Source organism: Homo sapiens, chromosome X (assembly GCF_000001405.40).
Source record: "Homo sapiens chromosome X, GRCh38.p14 Primary Assembly".
In the NCBI taxonomy this organism is placed as follows: Eukaryota; Metazoa; Chordata; class Mammalia; order Primates; family Hominidae; genus Homo; species Homo sapiens.
In genome coordinates, this window is record NC_000023.11 from 50,379,060 (window position 1) to 50,404,796 (window position 25,737).

At 42.0% G+C, this 25,737-nt stretch overlaps 1 protein-coding gene across 1 annotated transcript in view; it reads right to left on the minus strand.

The window, feature by feature from the left end:
* The window catches only part of DGKK (diacylglycerol kinase kappa), a 105,417-nt gene that overhangs the window by 13,651 nt on the left and 66,029 nt on the right, over window positions 1–25,737 (minus strand). Inside the window, exons 5-20 of the mRNA NM_001013742.4 lie at window positions 24,990–25,125; window positions 24,432–24,538; window positions 24,002–24,124; window positions 21,978–22,080; window positions 14,093–14,276; window positions 13,282–13,390; window positions 12,378–12,517; window positions 11,269–11,350; window positions 9,468–9,559; window positions 8,495–8,594; window positions 7,299–7,527; window positions 5,661–5,765; window positions 5,109–5,205; window positions 3,437–3,544; window positions 922–1,018; window positions 568–675 (exon numbers count right to left, since the gene is read on the minus strand). Coding sequence (NP_001013764.1) covers window positions 568–675; window positions 922–1,018; window positions 3,437–3,544; window positions 5,109–5,205; window positions 5,661–5,765; window positions 7,299–7,527; window positions 8,495–8,594; window positions 9,468–9,559; window positions 11,269–11,350; window positions 12,378–12,517; window positions 13,282–13,390; window positions 14,093–14,276; window positions 21,978–22,080; window positions 24,002–24,124; window positions 24,432–24,538; window positions 24,990–25,125 — 1,920 coding nt within the window. The remainder of the gene's footprint in view (window positions 1–567; window positions 676–921; window positions 1,019–3,436; window positions 3,545–5,108; window positions 5,206–5,660; window positions 5,766–7,298; window positions 7,528–8,494; window positions 8,595–9,467; window positions 9,560–11,268; window positions 11,351–12,377; window positions 12,518–13,281; window positions 13,391–14,092; window positions 14,277–21,977; window positions 22,081–24,001; window positions 24,125–24,431; window positions 24,539–24,989; window positions 25,126–25,737) is intronic.

Here is a 25,737-nt window from a genome sequence, read left to right on the forward strand (position 1 = left end):
TAATCCCAGCACTTTGGGAGGCCAAGGTGGGTGGATCACCTGAGGCCAAAAGTTCAAGGTCAACAAGCCTGGTCAACATGGCGAAACCCTGTCTCTACTAAAAATACAAAAATTAGCCGGGCATGGTGGCTGGCGCCTGTAATCCCAGCTACTCGGGAGGCTGAGGCAGGAGAATCACTTGAACCTGGGAGGCGGAGGTTGCAGTGAGCTGAGATCTTGCCACTCCAGCCTGGATGACAGAGCAAGACTCCGTTTCAAAAAAAAAAAAAAAAAAAAAGCATGGTCTAGATAGCCTTTAAAGGATCTGTCAGACCCGAGGAATGGAAAATCCAAAGCCCAGGCAACACCTACGAGTTGACCTTATCCTGAGGTCTTTGGTTGAATTTTCTGCTTTCGGATGGTAATTGCCTGAAAAACTGATCATACAGCTGCTGCTAATAAAGGTTCTCGGACCACCTCCTCTTCTCCCATTGTCTATTTTTCACTTCAGTTAGCACAATGCTTCCTTCAGAGAGACCTTAGTGGGATCATGCCTTTCTTCCTCCCCATTCCTTGTTCCATACTAACCGTGGTTGCTGTGTTGCTTCCCCAGAAGTTGATACCTCCAGCATAGCTGGTAATGTTGAGCACTACAATGCCTTGCAGGTTTGGCAAGGAGATGGTTTCTCCATCACACTGAAAGAAAAGAGTAGCTCTCATTAGCTGGATCTTTAGATAGCAACATGAAGGAACATTTACAGAGATGGGGAAAGGGCTCTGTCTTCTCTTCCATTACATGGAAATCTATCTTCATGCCTTCCTCCCATGAGCTGTGAGGATCACAGAGTTAAAGCTCAGGAAGAATCAGCATGTACGGTATTCCCAAGGCCATGAGATTTCCTTTCTCCATACCCAGGAAAGACTACCCGCTTTTCCACTAACCTCCAAATGCACTCGTTCTTCCAGTTTCCTGTAAGAGCGCTGCAAAAGTTCTTTGGTTCCCAGAAGGCCATACCACATCTTGTTCTTAAGGCGGCTACTACATGGAGGTAAGCATTAAGAAAGCAGAGGGTGAATGATATATAGATAAATGGTGGAAAAAGACAGGAAGGAAAACCATCTTACTTCTCAAATGCCTTCTTACAGAGAGGAGTCATGCTAAATGGCAACTGGACAGCGGTTAATGTAACTGATATCCAATGCAAACACTTGAAGAAATGGGTTCCTGGGCCCCTTTGAAGCCTCAGTATCCTATCAATAAATAAATTTTCCATTTCTGCTTGCTACCAATATTGGTCCAGACTTGGAAGAAACAGGCTATATTCAGACATCAATGCTCATAAAAAGCTATGAGCGTAGCTGGCTGGTACACACCAGCTACCCTAGTTGTGCTACTCCAGGAGATTTCAGCTGCTTGGAATCAATTTCATTTGAAACACGTGACTCTTAGAGTGCAATTTTTTTTGAAGCAGCAACTTTTCTGGCAAAGTGAAGTACTTTTCCAAACACCAGATCCATATACTAAATGCCTAATTCAATGCCATGGAACAGATCTAAGCTTGTAGGGAGATTTTAGAGGAGGAGCCAGTGGAGAAAAATAGGAGACAGGAAAGGATATCAGGTGACTTGAGGTGGAGGTGGGGAGGACAGCGTCTTGTTGACTGTGGAATCTCTGATAGAAATAGGTGGGGCACTTACGATCACTAGAAAGGCTGGATATAGTTTACTTGGAGCTTGTAAAGTAGAGCCACAGAAATGAGCCATCATCACATGGAATGAGTTTTGAAATGTCAGAAGGCTAGCACAAAATTATTGAGACACTGTTTAAACCATTCATTCTCTGGGCACTTTGGTGTTCTCATCTACAAAAATAGGAGTTTAGGTATATGAAAATGTACAATACCTAGAACAAACCAATTCTGAAAAAAAGAATCAAGTGGGGGACTTTCATCTCCCAATTTCAAAAACTACTGTAAAGCTATAGTTATCAAGATAGTGTGGTACTTGCATAGGATAGACACATAAATAAATAGAACAGAAGTGAGAGTCCAGAAATAAACCCTTGCATTTGTGGTCAATTGATTTTTGACAAAGGTGCCAACACGATTCACTGGGGAAAGGATAGCTGTTTTGAAAAATGGCTCTAGATCCGGGCGCGGTGGCTCATGCCTATAATCCTATCGCTTTGGGAAGCTGAGGCGGGCGGATTGCCTGACCTCAGGAATTCGAGACCAGCCTGGGCAAAATGGTGAAACTCCGTCTCTACTAAATTACAAAAAATTAGTCAAGCATGGTATCATGCACCAGTAGTCCCAGCTACTTGGGAGGCTGAGGCAGGAGAATTACTTGAACCCAGGAGGCAGAGGTTGCAGTGAGCCGAGATCATGCCACTGCACTCCAGCCTAGGCGACAGAACAAGACTCCGTCTCCAAGAAAATAAAAAAAATAAACAAATAAATAAATTAAAATGGTGGTGAGATAATTAGATATCCACAGGCAAAAAGATAAACTTAGACTCTTACCTTAGACCCTCACACTATACGTAAAAATTAACTCAAAGTAGATCATACACTTAAATGTATTAATAAGAGCTAAAACAATACAAACTTTAGAAGAAAACTTAGGAGCAAATTTTTAAGATCTCAGATTAGGCAAAGATTTCTTACAGATGGCACCAAAAGCATGGTCCATAAAGAAAAAAACTGATCAATTGGACCGCCTTAGAATTCAATACTTTTGTATTTCAAAGATACCACTAAGAAAATGAAAAGACCAGCAAGAGACTGGGAGAAAATATTTGCAAATCACATATCTGACAAAGTTCCTGTTTCTCAGCCCAGGCCTGCTTTGAGAAAGAGGTTCTAGTGGTGGTGGCAAGGGTGGGGTGTTGTGGGGTGGGGTGTCACACTTTTTACTTATAGCTTCAATGTACCACAAGAACTCTGAGACTGACTTAGGCCTTGTCTGAAGTATGAAAGTGCGAGAAGGTGCCATGCAGGCCAACACTGGATAGGGTAAAATTAACGGGTTCAGGGGAACCAGGTTAGGAACACCAAAAACAAATAGAGGGATGTTTGATACTTTGCAACTTTGTCAAGTGAAAACAGATCTGAAGCCACTACTGAAACCTGGTTAAACTTTCACAGACAGAACAAAGGTGGGCGATTTGCTAAATTGAGTCAACATAATCTGTTGTCAGTAACAGTAACACAGGTAGCTGTGTTTACACAGAAATCCACAGGTCTGGATTTGAAGGCAGCTCAAGTTTAGGATGCCAGTGCAGTCATCCAAAATTTGGCACACACTGTCCCGCTAGACTAGTCTTGGGGCCAATGCATTTTACTTCCAGTGGGTCCCTTTCTTTCTGTTGCTTGTCTGAGAGGTAGAGAATGTAGGAATACGTATGTGTATTGTGATAGTGTGTTTGCATGTAGGGAAGGGAGTTTCTTTTCCTTACTTGTATTGCCCTGGGTGTTCATCTCTTCTGGTGTTGAAGTCCAGAGAAATTTTAGCATCCAGTCCAATTCCGAAGTAGTTGTTCATGACACATTTTTCTTTGAAGCGTCTGAAATTATTCAAAGAAGAGGACAGACATTGGTGCAGGAAAGAAGTGCCGCTATCAATTGGGCATGAAGATGAATCTGCATGATGGAAAACCAGTGAGGGAAGGCCCCCTCCACACTGGGCACTAACTATAACATTTTTGAGAGGCACATGTAGATATCCTTTTGTGTGAACAACTAGCTTATTAGCTGTAAGAGGGAGTGCCTCGCCAGTTGGGAAGCTTCAGTGGGATTGGAACTCATAATAAAGAAGCAACATTGATGATTTTAGTCATCTTTGGAGGCCTTATGTATGAGTGGCCCATATTTTCTTCATATGTAGTATTAAGGGAAATACTGTTTACTCCTATAAAGAACTTTTGAATATCCTAGACACAAACGTGCCATGACAGTTAAGTCTGCACAACTGCTCTCAGTGATGTCCGACATCAAAGGGGAAAATGACCACACATTTGGAAGGAAAGACTGATAAAAGAGGGTAGATATGTACATAACAAAAAAGCCAAATTATTTGTCAAGTCTCCTGTGTCCATCTAGGGTGTCAGCATCAAAACCAGTGGTGTGCCATAGCCAGTTGGCACCAGCTCATGTAAACTGATTATGCATATCTCTTTCCAACTCCAGATTCAATGGCATTATATCACTAACTTAAATAGGCCATGGTGGAAGGGTTTACACCATAAATGAATCAGGGCTTTCTCCCCCAAGAGAGGAGGTTGTTAAACACTTTGCCAGTGCACTATTGATCAAAATTCATTAGGTAGATCCATGAGAGCTCAGACATAAATTTGAGCCAATGGTGAAGTGTGGGGGCAAGAATGCGGGTTGGAGACAGGAATAAAAATTGTTTTCTTAAATAAATTATTTAAGAAAACATAAATAATTTCTAGCTGTGTCCTTTTGAGAAATTAAATGGATACAGTTTAGCTGTTTAATCTTAGATTACTTTTTTATTCATTACCATACTGACCTTACATCTCTCACATGAGATTTGCCTCCCTCAACCACAGTCCAGAGATTGGAGTTTCTCTAACTAATGTCCAAACTGATCTTCTTAATGGAACTCAGAATGAGTGAGTGTGGCAGAACTTGGCTGCTGCCGATATTCTAAAGAGGGAGAACTGGTGAGACAGATGTCCTTAGATTTGCTGCCTAGTCCCCTAGTGACCATTTTAGTTTTTAGTATCTTCAACCATTTACTGTTAAGGGCAACAGTGAAAAAAAGCAAGTCCTCTGTAATAACAACAACTAACATTTATTAATTATTTATAATAATAACAATAATAACTGCAAATGCATATAACACTTAATTATGGGTGCCAAGCACTACTCAGTGCAAGTACTTTTCATATATAAATGTAATAAATACAGCAAACCCATGATGCAAGTTCTACAATGGTCTTCATTTTACATATGAGAAAACTGAGGCTCACACTGGTTTAGTCACTTGCGTAGGTGACACAGCTAGTAAGTAAGAGAAAGGATTTGACTATGGATATCCTAAGATTGTGCTCTTAACAAGAGAAAGAAAGAAGCCATTAAAAGGTGATAGAGTTAAATACTTACATAGATTCAGGTGTAAAATGTAAGTGATCCAAGTTAAGGTTGTCCAGGTCCTCACTTTTGAGAGAAGATATAGAAGACAAAGTGCCACGACGAGAACCTAGACACAAAAGACATCACTTGGGTGACGGATACAAACAAAAAAGCCCTTTCCCCTCACTTGTATTTCGCCCTATTTTCTCTGTGGAGGCAGGGTCAAGCTCAGTGACTTTCTCCTAGATAATATTAAGGGTTCTAATTCCAAAGAGGGATCCTCTTGGATGGATAGGGACTTCCACTGAGAGAAGAATAAAGCTGGGCTGCTTGCTTGCTGGCAGTGAAAACAACTTCAAATCTTGTATTTCATCAGGCCAGCCTCTTCAATGTTCCTAATGGGGTCATTACTCTGGACATTGGCATGGGATCTTATAGTGTGAGTTTCTGGGAAAGACGGAGGGGTATCTACTGCAGGATTATGGCTAAAAGAGGATGCATAAAAAATACATATTTATTCTTTGGGAGCTAAACAACAGTGACGAAGGCTAGAATAAGGGAAGAAGACAGAAAGATCCTTACGGCGTCGTGGGCTTGTCTGGTTAATATCTTCTGGGTCATCTTCCAGGAAGAAAGTTGAACTAAAGTTCTTAACAGATATTGTCTGTCTGCTTTCCTCATCCAGAGCTATAGAGAAAAGTGGGAGGAAGGAAAGCAAAAAAGAAAGGAGGAAGGGAGGGAGGAAGAAAGGAGGGAGGGAGGATGGAAGGAAGGAAAGATTAATTACACTTATTGAACATTTATCGAGCATCTATTTTGTTTAGTTAGTGGGTAGATGATGGAGACTCCCATTCGACCATCACGTCTCCTCCATGATACTGTTTGTAGTCTCAGCTTGCTTACAGTGTTGCTGTTTTTTCATATTCATGCCTGAGCTTTCTTTGTTTTACTGGTTACTCTTTTTTCTCTCACCCAGTACATGTGGTTGTGAGTAGAAGCTTGTGGCTGTGGATTGGGGTATCAGCATGGGAAACTCTCTGCTCTTCTACCTCCATTCTATTAGTTCATTTACTTATGTGGCTTTTGTCTATAATTGAGCCTCTAGGACTGTGCCACTCTTTCACTCTAATGTCTCACTCCACACCTGGAACATTTGGGAAGTCTCTTTCCTTTCACCAGCCAAATGTTGTATAGCTGAGATGCCCAGTCTCAGCCTGTGTCAAAGCTCATAGGTTCAATCTCTACCCCTACCAGGGAGGTATTTTCCTATCTCATAGCCACAAGCTACACCTCTAAATCTAACATATGTGTTGATGGAGCAGACTGAGGGTTGGTTGCGACAGTTATGGCTACATCCGTTTAATCTGATCCACACTGCTTGGAAACTAATTATAGAAATAGAGGCAAATTGATTGTTTAATCCTTCCACTGTGCAGAAGGGAGATTTTCTTTCTTTCTAGGAAACTTGGCTGAGGTTGTACGTGAAGGTACCAAGGCAGGGCAAGGCACCATGGCTAAAAGTCAAGGGCCAGCCAAAGGGACTTCCTTGCTGCATGGGACTTCTGCTCAGTTCCAATAGTTCAGTTAGAATACACTCATTCTTATACCACCTTCTGATCTGTTTCTCAAAGTATTGTGGGAAAGAAGTGGTCAGCAAAACATTCAATGAAGAAACTGAGGGAGTTGAAGAGTTTTCATTCTGAGTTGGGAAGTTTGCAGACTGTCGTGAGTTCTGAGCAATGGTAATTAATGCTAGAACTGTCAGGACCACTCTCAGGGCCCTTGTGCCTGATTAATCATGTGCAACACATGCAGAGTTGAACACCATTTTCTTTCTAAAATAGTCATAGGCTCAGTGGTTGGAAAGAAACAGGAGAAGGAGGAAAAAAGTCTTATGGCTGGTGGTGGAAGCTGATAGAGCTTTGAACCAGGTCACTTAGCATCTATTAATATAATTGTATAGGATGAGTGTTGGTTTCCAAAAATGAGTAGCAGGAGTTGACTGTCTGGGAGGTAGGAGGAGCCAAAGGGGCAGCTTAGCAGGACTGAGGCTTTTCAAATCAGTAGTCTGAATACTGACTTTGTATACAATATGAATGCAGAATCTAGACTTTTTGTAGCAGAGTCAGAGAGCAAACCCGGAGTCAGTGAGGCCAGTAAACCATCCTCTGGAACTTTTTCTTTCCCCTACCTCAGTCACTACAACCCTGGCCACCTTACCTTGTTCAACTTGAAATATGATGAGTTTCAAGGATTTCTGGAGACTCTGGGCCTTTGTAGCCAGCTCCAACTTGCACTTGGCTATGTGGTCTATTTGAGGAATGAAGGGCTTCCTATCTGCCTTGCTGCTGTCTGCATATTCTGTAGCACTTTTTTCAGCAGAAGTAGCTGCTGCCTCCTCAGCCAGGACATCGATCAGGACACTGAGCCTATCATACATTAAGTCACTCTATATAGAAAGGAAGGAGACAGGGCATTGTTATGAGGGACCCATGCTTGAGAGGACAGAATGAGGAGTGGTGGTGATATGGGGAAGGGTAGGGAGGGGTAAGAGTTGTCCATAAATGCTGAGCATAGAAAACCACATGTGAGAAGATGAAGTACTTAGCAAAAGAAGTAGGTGGGAAGATGTGATGAGATAACCAAAGGGTGTTAGGAGATCAAACACATATCATTTGTTTCTGAGTGGCCCCATGCATCAGTGTATATAGCTGAGTCTTTCTTGTGTCAAACGGGCCTATAAAACAATGTATAACATGCAAACTTGAGGAAAGACAAATATTTCTGGATTTTCATGGGCACGCTCCTCTGGATATGAACGTGTCCCTGCTTGGGTGCTTGGTGTGTGTCTTTGTATGTGTACAGGCTTGGGGACCTACATCTGCTGCATGATTTAAGGCCTTGATTCTTAGCTCCATCACTTAATAGTTTGCGATCTGAGGCAAGTTTCTTAACCGCTTTGTGCCTCCATATTCTAGGGTAGTTGTGAGGAATAAATACATTAATACATTAAAAACAGAACAGTCCTTGACACAGAGTAAGTGCTATATAAATGTTGGCTATTGTTGTTAGAGAGGTAAATGTGAATGTATTTGTAGTGTGTATTCGTATGTACATACTTGTAAGCATGTTCTGGTGTACAACCATGCACATACCTGCTTGATGTACACTTGTGTCTAGTTGTGGGCAGATGCTTGGCATGTACATGGTATGTGTGTATGCATGCAGAGCGCCATCCTTCATTTAGCAAAAGATGGAAGTTCAATGAGGTTAGACCTTCCTCATCAGGGAGGCTTAACAGCTGCCCCTCCTTTCCTTTCTTTTACCATTCCCAGTGAGAGGCATGTTTGCTTTTTATTAAAAAGGGCCCCTGGCTGCTCCACAAAGAGTATAAGACAAAAGGAATGGGAACTTACTTTCAAAATCACAGACACTATTGCAGTGTTGTTCTGTTTTATCTGACCCCAGGCCTTTACAATATCAACCACAAAATCTTCCACAGCTGAACACAAGAATCTGGAAAGATAAAATAGATGGCACAATGTTACATGAACCATGAGGCCCAGAGCCCTTCTCTCTTATGTCATCAGTCCCCATCCTCCTCCTCTCTCTCTTTCCTGATCTGTCCTCTTTCTCTCACCCTCTGCTCCCAGCCTTTTTCTCTCTGCTTTTTTTTTCCTGTGCATATGGTGAAATATGTTCCATCCCCACTTTAGTTCAGTGTCACACCACTTCCCAAGTCAAGAACCTAATAGAGCTTGACCAGCATTTCTTAGTACTAATTCTGAATTTCCAGAAAAGAGAATTCACTTGGTCCAACTTGGGTCAGGTTTTCACCTAGGTTCAATCAGCTATGTTTCAAGGGCCCAGCTAATTTAGTACAAACAATTATATTGGGAGGACTCTCCCTGTGGGAAGTTTTTCTCAAAGGAGAGTGTAGTCGACTGGGCAGGAGCCCCCTAAGAAGTCCCAGAAGAAACAAATGACCCACATATTTAGAAGGGGGAATGTGTTCCTCAGGTTATGAGAAAGCAGCTATAGGCAGATATTGCAGAGACCTTTCTTAATGTCAAAGACGGAAAGCAAGGTGTCTATACTATAGGGAGCTATGCTATGCTCCTAAATGGTCTATAATGTTGTGTTTCCCTACTATAATTCTCTTCCCAAATCTCTGGCTTGCAATTTTGACTTTTTGGAGCAGCAGACGACTTCACCTCAATGTCATCTTTCTTTCCTAAACTTTCCATTCAGGGGGTTTGAGTTGGGAGAAATCTGATTTGGGAACATAAACATGTATTTTCCTTGGCCTCAACACCCTCAGCTATCAAAATGAGCCCCATGTCTGACCTGGGAACAGCCCCAAAGGATGAGAGCCAAAGGAAGACTGACCTGGTTGCGATGATCATCTCTGTGGGGTACTTGGCCTTCAGGATTTTGTTCAACTCGGTGGCTGCAGATTCTAAGTGTTGGATGGCAGCAGCCTAGGGGCAAAAGGAGTTCTTAGCCCTGGAATCTTAGTACAATAACACAGTGTGCTGCCCATCCTCATCCCCTGCAGCCTCATTGTTTCTTACTGACTCTACCCGCAACTCAACTGCCTCTCTGGAAATGATAATGATCAAAGAATTCTTGTTGAAGGTCAACAGAGATGATCTTAGATCTATGCGTATTCTAAAAATTTAGATGTATTTCATTTTCTCTTAATAATCAAAACCTCATATGAAGGAGGTACTATTTCTTTCATGTTTCAAATGAACAAACAATCTCATATTACATAGCTAGTAAGGAATAAAGCTGGATTCGAATCTACATCTTTCCAATTCCAGAATGTAACTTCTTTAATAATATTACTACCAATAATAACAGCACCCACTTATATAGTACTGACTATGTGCCAGGCTCTGTTCTAAGCTACATGTATATTTTTTCATATAATCCTCATAACAACCCTATGAGATAAAGACTGTTATTATCTCCATTTCACAGAAGAGAAAGCTGAGCCCAGAGAAGGGAAAGATGATAAATTGTAGAGCCAGGATTCAATTCCAGGTAGTCTGGCTCTTGAGTCTGTGCTCTTAATTACAACTTCTACTCCTTCCTCTCTATCACCCTTGACATTCAAACATCTACCAAGACTTGATAATTCTATTTTTTGAGTATGTCTCAAATGTATCCACTGCTACTCATCCCTGCTACCACTTCACCAGTCCAAATCACCATCACCTCTTGCCTAGACAATTACAACATCTCCTAGCTTTTCTCTTTGCCTCTAGTCTTTTATTCCTTCAATTGTTTCTCCACATACCATGGCACTCCTCTACTTAAACCCCTTCTCTTAGATAGCAGACTGGATAGATGACTGGATATGTGATAAAGCACGCATAGGAAAATGTTAGTAGTAGAGCTACCATTTTAACTTTCATCAATGTAGAAATTTTCATAATAAGATAAGAAAAAAATCTTCTGTAATTCTTATTGCTCTTAGGATGAAATCCAAACTTCCTACTGTGGTTTATCAGGCCCTTTCTGGCCTGGCCCCTGATTACTTCTCTAGCCTCATCTTTAGTCACTCTCCCTGAATGCCCCCTTCCTGGCCCCTACGCCTCAGCCATTATGAATGTACTTCAGTTTCGTGAATATTCCATGCTCTCCCTTGCCTTTGGAACAATACACGCTGTTCCATCTGTGTGGAACAGCCCTCCCCTTTCTTATTCTCCTGGTTAATTCCCTCTGGATCTCAAGTATCTTGTGAAATGGCACTCCTTCTGAGCGGCTTTCCCTGATTTCCCCAGACTGAGATAGATCTTCCTGCTATGTGTTCCCAACCCCCTCTACTTCCTTATATACTAACACTCATACTACTTGATTAAAACAATTTATTTTTCCATCTATTCAAGTAGACTATGTCATTCTTCTTTACCCAGTAGCATATAAGAACATCTCCTAGAATAATATCTCACATAAAGTAGTTACTCCATAAATATTTTGAATGAATAAGTAAATGAGTGAATGAATTATATCCCCAGTGCTTAACATAGTTCTTGGTAAATAGCTGCTGACTGACATGTCACCAACTCTCAATGATCTCATCCTCATCCATGCACAATGCAAAAGCTTCTCTCTGGGTTTTGCCAATTATTTCACTGAGTAATAAAGATATTGGTCTGAATTACAGCTGAACAGTAGTTACCTCAAATCGTGGTACATCCATTTCAACCTGTCCTTTTAGCAGCGGGGTTTGTCTGGGAGTCTCACGAATCATCACACTCCATCTGAAATGAATTTCAAAGACGGATATTTAAGGGTCTGTTTCATGACTGGTAAAAATTAGTGCTTCAAAGGTGAAGACAGAAGTAAAAATGTTTATGTGGTGGGGGGAGGTGGGTTGTAGGGGGTGTCCAAGCAATCTCTGGTCACCTGATCTCAAGGTGACCATAAGAGGGACCTCTGTCTCATGACTTCTGTAGGCCAGTGTGATGGAAGGAATTGCCTTCCCTTTACAGGGTTCTCAGAGAGCAGTGCTTCTTAACCAGAGGTAACCATCAAGATCATCTGAGGTGCTTTTGTACAATACACATTCCAGGGCCCTGCCAAGACCTACTGAATCTTTGTGGTGGGGTTCAGGTTGATGTTTTTAAAAAGCTCCCCAGGAGATCCTTATGGGCAGCAATAAATCAAATGCTCCTATATACACCAGCATAGAAAGTCTTTTTTTCCTCAGGAGATAGGATGGTAGTACTTGCTCTTCTCTAGAGCAGTGACAATGTAAGCAAGTTATTTCTAAACTCTCCCTCCATCCCTTTTTTAGTTTCTTTGAAAATCTGATGAAATTATAGACTTTTCCCCAAGAGAGAATATGCTTAAACAGATCATTGGCTCTGCAATTTGAAGAGGGTTCACTGAACCCTTGAACGTTATCCATGGGGCCCCTGCTCTAGAATCGTCTAGTTTTTTTGGTGTTTTTGTTGTTGTTGTTTTTGTTTTGTTTTGGTTTTTTTGAGACAGGGTCTCATTCTGTTGCCCAGACTGGAATGCATTGGCATGATCATGGCCCACTGCAGCCTTAACTTCCCAGTAGGATCCTTTAGTTTTGAAGAGGGGCTTCAATGTTTGAAGGATACATGGTAGACCCTGGCTTCCCAAGAGACAAGCCCCACCCAACCCACAAATGGCTCTGCACTGAAGCCAGAAAGGAAATGAGGCTCTATCAATCAGAGAGGTTAAAGTATTCCTGATTGAGATGATGTGAGTGATGTGGGACAGGAAGAGGCACAAGGGCCTGGTCTTTCAGCCACTTACCTGTCTAGGATCCTCACACTAGCCTGCTCCACTCTGTTGAGGATGTCCAGAGGTGACTTGCTTTTGTTCCAGAATGCACCCCAGCCCAGAACACGAGCCAGATCATTGCCGGTTCCAAGTGGGATGACTGCCAACTGACACTGCAAGAACAAAAGGAGACACCCTTTTCAGACAGTCTTTCTACCAAGCTTCACCCATGAAGGAACCCAGAGGGTACTCTTTGGGAAGAATTATGGTCTTAAAACCAGTGGATTTACGGGACTTCAGATTCTGGGGAAGGTAATGAGAGGATGTTTGCAATTGGGTGAAATTTTCCCTAAGGAGTTGGACCCCAGTGTTAACAACACAGAACCTACTAAGTAAAGGGAAAAGTTGCCGGAATATGACAATATTCATGGCCATGCTTAAAGAAGAGAAATATAGCTGTGAATTTCTATCTGGGCTGGGCCAAGGAGGTGAAGTACGTCAGGAGACAAAGCTACTGGAGTGAGAAGAGCAAGGCGGCTGCCTAAGGACAGTAAGGAGACATAGAGGAAACTTTCTGCCACTCTTGAGACTCAAGGAAGAAAATCAGTGGGTTCAGGAGGGGAAGGAAATTGGGGGTTGAGTGCTGTCTAAGACCACTTCTGTTTTGTTTGCTCTCCTCCCCTTCAATTCTTCACTTTGAAGCCTAGGGAACAGAGCACTGCTCGTTCTTTCTGTCGATGTCACACAGATAGACAACCAGAAAACAGTGTAGATGAGTAGGCTTAGATTGGGAATCTACCAGTCAGGCTGAATATGAAACCTGGGGGAAACATATTTTACAGACAGGGAGGGCGAAGACTTGGGACTTCTTGGGATGGGCAGCTGCACACCCCTACTCTTTCTAGCAATGGCTAAACTGAGTCATCCAGGGACTTACCTTTTCATGTAATCCAAAGGCATCAATCAGAGATAAGACCCAGCTCACGCTGCCATCTCCACCACAAACCAGAATGCGAAAGCGAGCAAAGTTCTTGAACATAGACAGCCTGGAAGGACAAAGAGGAAAGGGGGTCATTTCATGAACAGCTGGGTTTTGTAACTTTTCCTACAATGTGTCAGGACACAAGGATTGCTGCTTTGGCACTCTGCTAACAGACCACCTGCCTTCTTTCCCTTAGCCCTTATCTGTCTGTGGGATCTAAGACCATAGACCATCCCAGAGATCAGGCTTTGCCTCAACTCATTTTCTTTCTGTGCCTCTGGAAAACACTAGTAACCTAAACAGACCCATTTGCTGAGGCCCAGGAAGATGCCTTGCATGGTGGCCAGTGGGCTCACAGGAACCAGGACTGAGCAGCCAGATGGTCCCAAAATAAAACAGGTCTATAGAGGAGATATATCTATTTGGTCCCGGGAAAGAGAGTGGCAGGAAAAGTAGACAGCAGTATCCATTTGTCTCTTTCTCTCAGGTTAGGAGGCATAGTTTTACGTTTTCCAACCAAAAAAGATAAAGCAAATCTGACAGGGGCTTGGACATGGGCTTGAAGGGATTTCTGGGAGAGGGCTAAGAGCCCTCCTACCAGCCAACCCAAAAGGCTCTGGAGTTATGTGCTTGTGTCCTGACTTGAGAAAATAGACCTTTCCTGCCCAAATACAAGAACTGATTCCAAGAAGCCTGTTTTAGTTTAGAATGTATAGAAGGAAGACTCCCTTACATACCCAATCATATCCATGGGATACAGGCTTACCCTGCTTCAGGTCCACCCTTCAATAAGTCGAACACTTGAGATGGGTTAAGGTATTGCTTGAATTTTCGGAGGAAGACGATCCCCTGATGATCGCCACTTTTGGAGTTGATGAAGATGAGCAAGGGACATGAACAGGCTGATGACCAATCAAGATTCCAGAAGTCTGAAGATACTACTAATTGGCCTGACACAACGAAAAGAAAAAGAAGAAAAAAAAGAACGGACCCGTTGAGATGGAAACGAGACATGACTTAACATCACATTTTGCAATAACTTTTTGAGTATGAGTCTCAGTCTTTTGAAAATGAGGAGCAGAGGAAAAGTCAAGATACCACCCAGAGGGGCTTAAAAGTATTTGTTGTATTTGTCTAGCTGTTGTCAGACAAATGACATTTGCTGAGCCACTACCACATGCCAAGCATCATGCCAGATACTGCTAGGGGTATAGTCCCTGCCTTCAAGCTCAGGAGAGAGACTCATACACAACAGTATGTTGGAACATAAGGAATAAAGAAATTGGTGCCACAACAAAGGATTAGTAAAACTGTGAGGAAACTGAGGAAGGAGAGGATTGAGAACCCAGGAGGAAGACCAGCACACAACTAGTCCTTTCTCTGCCCAGGATACCTCAGTTCTTATAGTGAGAAGATACCAGGTCAGGAGAGAGGGGAAGGAAAGGCTGTCATTTAGCCAGGAGCTAATAACAGAACGTATCAATGTGGGGTGAAGCAAAGAGCTTTAATCACTTCTCTAAGGCTGTTGCAGAGCAATCTGTGTTATCTCACCAACTTCCCTGGGGAAACAAGACTATAGGAAAATTATCTGAACAAGGGAGAGGCTTTTAATAATCTCCAATATTGTAGTTACCCATAGAGAAGTAGGGTTATAGCAGTCTAAATAACCAAAGCCTGCCAGCTCGTGCTGAGTCTCAGAGCCTGTTGGCAGGGAGACAGGCAGTGTGCAATGGCCTCCTAAGAGATGCTAGACAAATAGTGAGCCCCCAGACCTCGGAGCTGTGGCTTGACAGGGATGCCTCTGCAAAAATAAATACACAGGGCAAAAAGCATGTGGCTCACTCCTCAGTGGGGGTGGGAGGAGGTGGGTTGAGAAGACCCATTTGTTTTAGCCTGGGTGAAAGGGAGCCTGAAGGAAATCTACTTGAGCAGATTTCATAACTGGTTTGCCTGGAAAAATCAAAGGCAGGTTTCCCCTATGGGCCAATTCCCACTCACTGGCCAGTGGAGCTTGAAGGCATCCTAAGCCAGCTAGCCAGTCATGCACCAAATTTTTAGGACTTGCCAGGACTCACAGCTACAAGGGGAGTCTTGTAGAAGCTGGGTCCCCTCACTAGCATAGCTCGGAAGTAGTTACTTTCCCCGAATACATTATCCAAAAGTAGTACCCCTTCCAACATTTTTTTACTAAAGTAATATGTTGACACAATGGTAGTTAAGACACATTAATCCCTTCATTCAATAAATATGTATGGAGGGCATTCTCTGTGCCTGCTTTATGTCCTGAGAATACAGTGGTGGACAAGATAGAAATAGTCTCTGCCCTTGTGGAACTTATATTTTAATGGAGGAGACAGACCATAACAAAGAATTATAAAAAAGAATTTGCCATGAAGAAAAATAAGGTAGGGAAAGGGGGTAGATATTGGAAGGGGTGTTATTTTAGACAGAGTGTCAGGGATGGCTTCTTTCAGGAGGTGACATTTGAGATGAAACTTGAATGAATGCAGGAGTGAGCAATGCAGGGAAGAGTGTTTTGGGGGTAGGAAGAAGAATAAGTGCCAGGACCCTGAAAAGGGAGACTGTCTGGGCTGTCTGAGGACCAGTGAAGAGAATAGTATGGTTATTGTGGAGTGAGTGGGGGGGGAGTGGCAGAAGATGAGGTCAGAGAGGTGACATGGGACAGATCCAATGGCAACAAGATGTTGGAGGAAGCAGTGCAAAAATAAGGGGAAGACTGTTCAGCATGGACTTGAGACGTCACGAGTCAGGTCTTAAGATATTTAAAGAAAGTAGTCAAAAGGTGTTAACTTTTTATGTGCTTGCTCCCCTACCAATGAACAATGCAGGCCCCAATTCATGGCCTAGCCCCAAGCTTACCTCTCCCTTGTTTTAGAACCTGTCTGTGCTCTGTGCTTCCCTTTCTCACTCTGCAACCCTCTGTCAACACCCTCTAAGTGAGCATATGACTTTGGGTATGCACCCTAATTAAAGGACTCATGGAAGCAACTTCTTGCCAACATCTAGTGGCTCTCTGAGGTGTGCTTGGAAGCAAGCACTTTCCCTGCCAGAGGTCCTGGAATAAACCTATCTATGCCCCCAAAGTTTTTGTTTTGTTTAGTGTCAAAGGCCCTTTGGGGGTAGTTCCTCTCTAAAGGTGAGACAGCAGTGGCAGTGAGACCAACCACTGTGTACTATTTGGGCCTCAGTTTCCTTATCTTCAAAATGAATCATTCAAAAACTTAAATTAGTTTCCCAGTGTTTAGATGAAAATGGACCTTTAAAAGCCAATCATTATGCTCATAATTTGGCTCCTAAAGATGAGAAGATGGTCAAACTTACTCATAACAAGAAATATACAGATTAAAACTAGCCTATGTTAACATTTTTTTTTCTTGTCTAGAACATTGGCAAAAAAAAAAAAAAATAGATAACACACTTGACTGGGGAGGCCATGGGGAAATAGGCACTCTCATACACCAAGAATGGACGTGCTGAGTGACACAAGCCCTGTAGAGGTGAATTTGACAGTATCTATGAAAATTACAGAGGCATATGCATTTTGACCTAGTAATTCCATTTCTTGGAATTTTTCATATAGACGTGTATGTAAAAGGATATGCATGAGGCTGTTCACTGTGGCATTATTTGCAATAGCAAAAGACTGAAAACTACTAAATTATTCATCATAGTGGACTGGTTAAGTACGTTATGGTGTATCCATACAGCAGAATATCTTGTAACTGTAAAAAAGAGCGAGGAAGCAATTTGTTGATAAGGAAAAGTCTCCAAAATATACTGTGAAGGAGAAAAAGAGCAAGGCGCAGAACAATGTGCATAGTATTAAAAGGGGTGGATAAGAATATCTATTTATATTTACTGGTATATACATGAAGAACTACTGGAAGGTATTTAAGAAACTAATGGCAGTATTGAACTGTGAGTGAGGATATGGGGGCTGTAGGAGATTGAGAAGATCAGAGAAAAGATAGCAGCAAGACTTTTCATTAAGTATTATGTGTATATATGTATTTCTTTTTTAAAAAACTGAACCATGTGAATATATTAACTAGACAAGAATTGAATTAAGAAATAGGAAAAAAGAATTATGCTAATGCTGTCTATAAATTAAATAGCCATGAGGGTGTAAACTAGAGTGAGCATAGGAAGCTTAGGGAGAAAATTCTGTAATTAAGGCAACTTGAACTTTAACATCAAACCTCATCTGTGGATGGGAAGACAGTGGGACATAGCCCCAGCAGGAAGGCAGTCCCAGGAGACTACAGGGGCAGCTCCATCTAGTATTTCCCCCTGAGGAAGAGAATATCTGAATTTCAGCAAGGCCAAGTTTGTCAAGAGAATCTTGTGAACCAGGTGACAAAGATGGGTGCCACTGAGGGCAGAAATGTAATAATGTTAAGATTTATAACCAGGCAATCCTTTCCACAAGATTGCTTTTGAATAGACTGATGTTAATCATAAGGGAGTGCCCAGTATTATTCCACAATTTTAATTGACAATTCACATGGAAACATAGAAGTCTGGCTTGTGAACTCTGAAGTACTCAAAGCTGGAGGAAGAGATACTTAATGACAGAATCAAGATTGAAAAGTGACCTTGACAGGCTGACTGGTCAAAGTCCAGGGATGAAATGTAAAGGGAATAAATGTGAAGCTTGCCCTTTAGGCTCAAGGACATAAATTGTACCAGAACAGGACAATACGAACTTGACTTGGCAGCATCAAGTGTGAAAAGAGCTTAGGGGACTTAGTTGACTTTAAGCTCCTGATGAGTCAACAGCCTGAAAGAACCTTTCAAAAAAAGCTCATGTTTCTTTGAGCTGCATTAATATAACCATAGTGCCCTAAACAGGGAGCCAACAGTCCCACTCAAATTCATTCTGTTCACTCCAAAGAAAGATGCGAAATTGGCATAGGTTGGCTTACCATTCTCTTCCCGTACTTTTAAAATCCTCCCTTACAAATGTCAACTCATTTAACCTTCATGACACACCTGAGTACAATTGTTATTCCTTATTGGCAGAAAACAAATGCCAGATTAACCACAGAGAGGTTAAGTAACTTGTCCAGGGGCATACAGTAAATGATAGAGTGTGTTTCTAGGACTAGTAGTATCAGCAACATCTGGGACTTGTTAGAGATGCAATTTCCTGGGCCCCACCCAGATCTACTGAATCAAATGCTCTGGGGGTAGTGCCCAGAAATCTGTGTTTTAACAAGCCTTTCAGATGCTTCTGATACAACAACCACTGCACTTCACTATTTTTTCTCCATATGAGCCAGTGATGCTATCTTAGTCGTTGCTCAGCATTGAGCCTTACATACAGGCAGTATTCAGTAAATGTATTAAGGAATTCATGTAACAAATCTTGACTGTGTGTATACCGTATACCCAGGTCTGAGTCAAGTGCTAAGGATACAGAGAGCTCACAGTCTGGGGTGGAAGATGGACACCATTATAATGTCATGTGTTAGGTGCTTTGAGATATGTCTTCTTGGTTTATAGCCATAGAAGTAATTGATTTGTTTGGGAGAGTGGGAAGAGGCCATTACAGAAGCTGTCAAACAGAGAAGACAATGTTTAATTTTGAGCTGGACCCTAAAGGATAAGAGAAGGAATATACCAAGCAGACTGGATAGGAAAAAGGGATAATTGGAAGGAATTCTCAGAAATTAGAGTCTACTGACTGAATAAATATATACGTGAACAGATGGGTGTGACTCAACGCTAGCAAGGGCCTTCTCAGAAAGTCATGAGCTGGATGCCCTCATGACTTCAGCTGGGTGCTGAAGAAAGGATTCTCTAGCTCAGCCAGGGGGCATTGAACCAGACCATCTTTAAGGACCTCACATGGCTAAGATTCTATGACTGGAAGATGCAAAAGATTCCTCTGGGATGGGACCTTCCAGTAGGAAACTTACCCATTAAAGGGCATAAAGCCACAGCCAAGAAGCCAGGAAGACAGAGTCAAGAAGATAGGGAAGTTTGAAAGACATTTCTAAGAAGTTCTAGGACAAGTAATGCATGATAGAAAGAAGGGCTGGCAGTGAGTGAGATTCAATTGGATCAAGATTGCAGATGACTAGGAGGAAAAGTTAAAAGCTAACTCATGGGATATTAAATAAGACACCAAACAAAAAGAATAGATTAGCCCAGGTGCTCCTAAGCAATAATATTATATCACTGGTGGAAAGAAGAAGAAAGTAACAATGCCATTATTTGACAAGCTATAACAAGCATAAGAAGTGATATAGGATAGGAAGAAATAAATTTTAAAAACACCAACACAAGGACAGGAAGCACAGAACATGTTTGGCCCAGTTACAAAGGAGAGGCGGCAACCCTCTTAACACCTATTTGGGGTCATTTGTGGCATGCTGAGGTGGGCCATCTGCTTAAAGACATCTTTGTCAGGTCCCTGTGGGGGTGAGCAAAATGTCTCAGATTCAAAACTAGGTTGATTTCACTACCAGCCTGATTTTGCTCAGCTGACCAGTTTGCTACTTTTCTTCTTGTATCAACTGCATCTTCCCCTAGTCCCTCATTCTCCTAACTAGGCAAGTATCTCTTATTTACTAAGTCATCAATTTCATCACCTCTTTGGTCAACTACCTGGTGGGTGACTCCATATGGATAACTATTTGAGTAGATCTGAGAATAATATATGCATGTATACCTGAGTGAAATTCAGTTTTGTGTCTTTACATGTTATTATGGGGACATATGAGTATACTTGCCTGCAGAAACCTGTATGAATGGCTCATTCCATGTACTAAGGTCTAGCTATATCTGTGTTAGGGTTGGAAAAATAACCGGAAGGATCTAGAGTGGCTGTGTGTGTGTGTGTGTGTGTGTACGCGTGCACATATATATGAGCACGCACATACACATGTGGTATGTCTAGTTCTAAAACTATGTTGTAACGGCTACAGGAATCTTTGCCCCCTTCTGTTCTCTAAGGAAACCATCTACTCTTCTTTCTTTTCCTTTCTTTGCTTCCAGCTAATGCTGGCTCTTCCCTGGCAGTGAAGTGAGCAACTAGCATCTATGTGGGGATAATTTTTAAGTCAGTGAAACGAGGGCTCACTAATCACTCTTGGACCAGTGGATATCCCACACGTCAGAGATGGACAAATTAGCAAATTAGAGAAATATAGATTAAAACATTCCAGGAAGAATTTGAACTTTCCTCCAGTAAGTGAAATTGACCATATATAGAGTGAAACTAATCATACACAAACTGAAATTTATGAGCAGTGTATCTCTTCCCTGGCTTAGTGAAATAGTAGTATGTCAGTGGTAAGTATATTAGATTTCTAAATCTCTTAGTATTAGTAAAATAGGTTAGGTCTTTTAAGCTGTGATATATGATTTTGATCTTGACAGTTCCCACTCTTTAATAATGAGTAATGGGAGAAGTAAATGAACAAGTCAATGGCAAAAAGGAGAGTCTCTCAGAAAAAACAAAGAAAAAGTAGGGAAGGAGAGGTGAATTCAAAAGGCAGGTGCCAAAGAGTGAATCATCCCTGTGGGGTCTGCACTTTTTATTAGGCTAGGAGACTAGATATTTAGTTGCCCAAGAAGTTGAGGGATTTAATTTTATGGTCCTTTGAGGTTATGTTTTTAGATACTTAGGCCCTTCACATATTATCATCTATCTTCACAATAGATAGCTTCATTCCCGTTTACAGATGGGGAAAGCAAAGCTCAGAGAATGTAAGTGACTAACCCAACATCACATATCTAGTAAGTAACTAAAGCTCATAATTGCCTAGCTCTTGTTTTTTTTCCTTACGTCATGATACCTCCATGTCTTACTTATTCTTAAACAAACACAAAAACTATACAAAATACCCTTCTTCTTGGCTTCTGCTTTTTTTGTTCTAACATTGCTAGACCTCTTGATAGAAGACTCTATACAAAGTTTATTCTTGCTGCATTGATTTCATTACTACCTCCTTTCCGCTCAACCTCCTATAAATGGTTAATATTTCTAAGGTTTTCTCATTTCCAAATGTCTCTACCATTCCCTTGGCACTTAGCATATGACACATCAAATTGTTAATTGTTGTATTATATCAGTAGCCTGAATCCACAATAATCAATAGCTCTGGCAATGCCCATGTCTTAGATCTTTCTGTAGCCTTCAGACACCTTGAGAACAGAGTTCTTAATAAATCACTAGAGTCCAGGAATTGACAAAGCATCAGTGAAGTTGGGGTAATGATCATGTTAGTTTCATATTTAGGAACAACATTGGTGTTTGTTTCCATTTTAAAAGTAAGATAACCTGGCCTTCATGAAGTTCTTCCTTGACCACCTGGACACAAACTTATTTAATGACTTATCCAGTGTTTGGAAATCATGAAAAAGCTGAAATCAATTCTGATCAGAAACAATTGTGACCGAGCTACAGAGAACATGCCCACATACATATACACCAGAAAGAACAACATTCACAATCCCAAAGGTAAGAGAACCAGGAGCTATCTATATACACATGCACAGTCCTACTTCCCCAAAATGTTTGACTGGTTGAGGAGAATAATTTAATTGCAGTGCTTCTTCCCAGCCTTTGCACCTTCCCTACATGCCCAATGTGCTTCTGAGGTTAAGATTTAACTACTCACCATCGCCTTTGGGGTCGCTTAGAGCAGTGGGAGGAATGACTGATGAGCGATGGCTTCTGAAGCAACATTCCTTGGAAAACCGTCTCCTACAGTCATCATGCACCTGAAACGACAAGAGAAGAGCAGAGAAAAAAAAGGAGGGGGAGAGAAAAGGATATCATTGATCAGTCTTGAGTTCCAATACCAAGATTTAGATTCTTAGTATTTAATCTCCCTTTCTGAGATTTGGTGCCATACATATATCCCTAACTCACCTGAACACCCCCATTCTACTCTGAGCCTACACTGTCTCTCAGTGTGGCCTCAGAACTCTGGTCCTTTCAAAGGTAGCTTTCAGAAGATACCCACCTACAGGCACTGAGAAATCACCAGTTCTAAGGCACAACCTTAGTGGCCTGCAGAATGGGGAACTTACATGCAGTATAAAAGAGTTAATAATAATAATCTAATATTACACTTCAATCCTTATAACAACAGGTGTGTGAGGTAGAAAAAACACTATTGAATTCATTTTAAAAATGAAGATGCCAAAGCTCAGAGAGGTAAAGGGTTTTGCCCAAGGTCAAACAGCTGGGAAGTGACAGCTGAGACTCTGCTGCCTTTCCCACAAGCGGCCATTCTTTCCAGATTTCTGACATCTTCAAGTGCCACTTCCTGGAAAATTACACATTTTCTAGGGGGAATGAACCTGGCCTGGTTATTCAAAAGCAATTGAAAAAAAAAAACAGAGGACAACCAGAGTCTTCTAAGAAGAAGCCCATACTTCAGTTTCTTCTTGTCTAGAAAACTCAGTTTTGGAGAAGCATCTAAAAGGCTAGAAATCTAGATCAGGGTCTCTCAACTTCAGCATTACTGATATTTTGAGCCAGATAGTTCTTTGTTATGAGAGGCTGACCTGTGCATTGTAGGAGGTTCAGCAGAATACCAGGCCTCTACCCACTCCATGTCAGTAGCGCTTCCCTCCACCCTGAGTTGCAAAAATAAAAAATGTCTCCACACACTGACAAATGTCTCCTGGGGGGCTAAATTACCCCCAGTTGAGGACCACTGGTTTAGAGGCATGGTAGTGTTGTAGTTAAGAGTGTGGTCGGCTGGGAACGGTGGCTTATGCTCATAAGTCCAGCACTTTGGGAGGCCAAGGTAGGAGGATCACTTGAGCCCAGGAGTTTGAGACCAGCCTGGGCAACATAGCAAGACTCCGTCTCTACAAAAAAATTAAAAAATTAGCTGGGCATGGTGGCATGTGCCTGTAGTCCCGGCTACTCTGAGGAGGCTGAGGTGAGAGGAGCCCACCTCACACGAGCCCAGGAGTTTGAGGCTGCAGTGAGCTGTGATTGTGCCACTGTACTCCAGCCTGGGCGGCATAGTGAGACCCTGTCTCAAAAACAAAAAACAAAACAAAACAAAAAAGAGCATAGTCTTTGCAGAATTATGTATGAATCAAGACTCTTGCTTACTGGCTGAATGACCTTGGACAAATGAAATTGGTCCAAATGACCTTGGACCCCTTCACTTTTCTGACCCTCACCTTCCTCATCTGTAAAATGGGAACAATGAGGCCCGGTTTAGGCTTATTGGAAGGAATAAATGAGATCATGTATATTAAGCACTCAGTATATAGTGGCAATAATAATGTGTTAATATTATCAACCATTTTTAATTAATAAAGGTTACAAGTTCCTAGGAAATAGTGAATGAGAAAGGGAGTAGGTTTCTCAAAGGCAGACTCAGAACTTATTTTTAATTGCCCATACTGCCATTAGAGAGCTCAGCTTTTCCCATTTGTTAGTAGGCCTCACCAATTAAGAAGCAACAAAGATGGTCTTAAATCTTTCTCCCAAAGAAAGGCTCCATAGTCAGATCTGGAAAGGCAGGATACTAAGATTTATACTATGGAATCTGTTTAACCTGTTTTGAGATAAGAGTTTCTTAGATTTCTATCTATGTGTATACATGGTCAAGCTCTAAGCCACTCCCTCGCCAGGAGTTAAGTTCTCTAAATATCAAGATGAGAAGAGTCTTACCGTAGAATTACACCACAGGCAGCGGAAGTCTTGAAGTCTTTGATAACTGCCACAGCTCTCATGACACACTGCACACTGAGAGCTGACAGGCATGTTTCCTTCTACCCATTGATGGGGCATGTTCTGCAGAAGGGTAAAAAGACACAGGAGGTAGAAGTTAGAGACATAAGGAGAGGAAGGGCCAACTGGAATAATTGTACTACTCCATGGAGGACATTAGGTAAATGACCCAAATGACCCTGCCCTCCCTACTCCAATGCAAGTGAACAATGACAAGTGGAGGAGGGAGGTTCATTCTTCCAGATAAGTTGGATTGTGAGCCTAGGACTTTGCTTATCTGGAGTTAGGAAGAAGTCTTCCTCCCCCTGTGTATCCTGGTTGAAGGGGACATGGGAGAGGCCGACTGTGGGAAGACATGGCTAGTACTTACTACTTCATCTGCAGGCAGAAGGAGGTCATCAGTGATAGACAATGTATTCCACTTGCAGTCTTTGCTTGCTCTCAAAGCACACAATCTGTGAGATTTCACTTTGCACACTGTGAGAAGAGGAAGAGAAAAGATGGGTGTGAATCTGGTGACAGTGAGGATTCTAATTCTCTTCCCAAAGCTGCTCTGAAAGTTAGAACACAGATGCATTCTAAATAGTTCTAATGCACCTCCAAAAACCTATTTCCAATAGGATCCAGTTCCTTTTTATTCTTACTGGCTAATCTTTTTATTATCCAACTTGAATGAAAATTGATGGTAAGAATGAGGTGATTTCTGTCTTTTTAACACTTGTGATAATATAGTCCCATCCCCCCACACTCATCCTTCTATTTTCATCCCCTTTATGTTAGTTTCCTCCCTTTTTCTTTCCTCAATCAGGGTTAACCTCACACCAGAGTCAGTGACCTAGTATGAGTTAATGATACTAAAGCCACATGAGTTCCTTCATCCCTATATCTACCCACTGAGCTTCACTTCCTAAAGGAATCAGAAAGGTACCTTCACAGATGATGGCATCTCTAGATAAGGCAGGAATGCTCTCTCGACAAACATTGCAGTGCTGGGTCCGGTGGCTGTAACTGGAGTACCAACAATGCATTCCAACAAGAAAAGGGTTGTTTTCTGCTGCAGGTATCTAAAATAAATAAACGAGAAGAGAGAATGGAGGATGAATCACAGAGACGGATTAAAGAGGGCCTGAAAATCTGCTGCTAAGTCTAAAATGGCCTGCTGTATAGGTGTCAGAGCGTGTGAAGGGGAAGACTGAAAGTTGGAGCCAATACCTGGGACCTGGGATACTTTGTGTGCGTTTTTGTTTGTTTTGCCAGTCGTTTCAAAAAGAAAAATAATAGAGGGGCAGACCCTGGAATAGAAGCTGAAGGCAGGAGTAATTATCTTTTTTTTTTTTTTTTTTTGAGAGGAAGTCTTGATCTGTCACCAGGCTGGAGTGCAGTGTCGCAATCTCGGCTCACTGCAACCTCCGCCTCCCGGATTCAAGTGATTCTCCTGCCTCAGCCTCCCAAGTAGCTGGGACTACAGGCATGCACCACCACGCCCGGCTAATTTTTGTATTTTTAGTAGAGACGGGGTCAAGTGATCTGCCTGCCTCGGCCTCCTGAAGTGCTGGGATTACAAGCGTGAGCCACTGTGCCCGGCCAGGAGTAATGATCTTTATACTGCTTGGCCAATCACTCTATTGTCTTAGTTCAAGCAAAAATGTGTTGTCTTAGCCTTGGCCTTGGTTCTC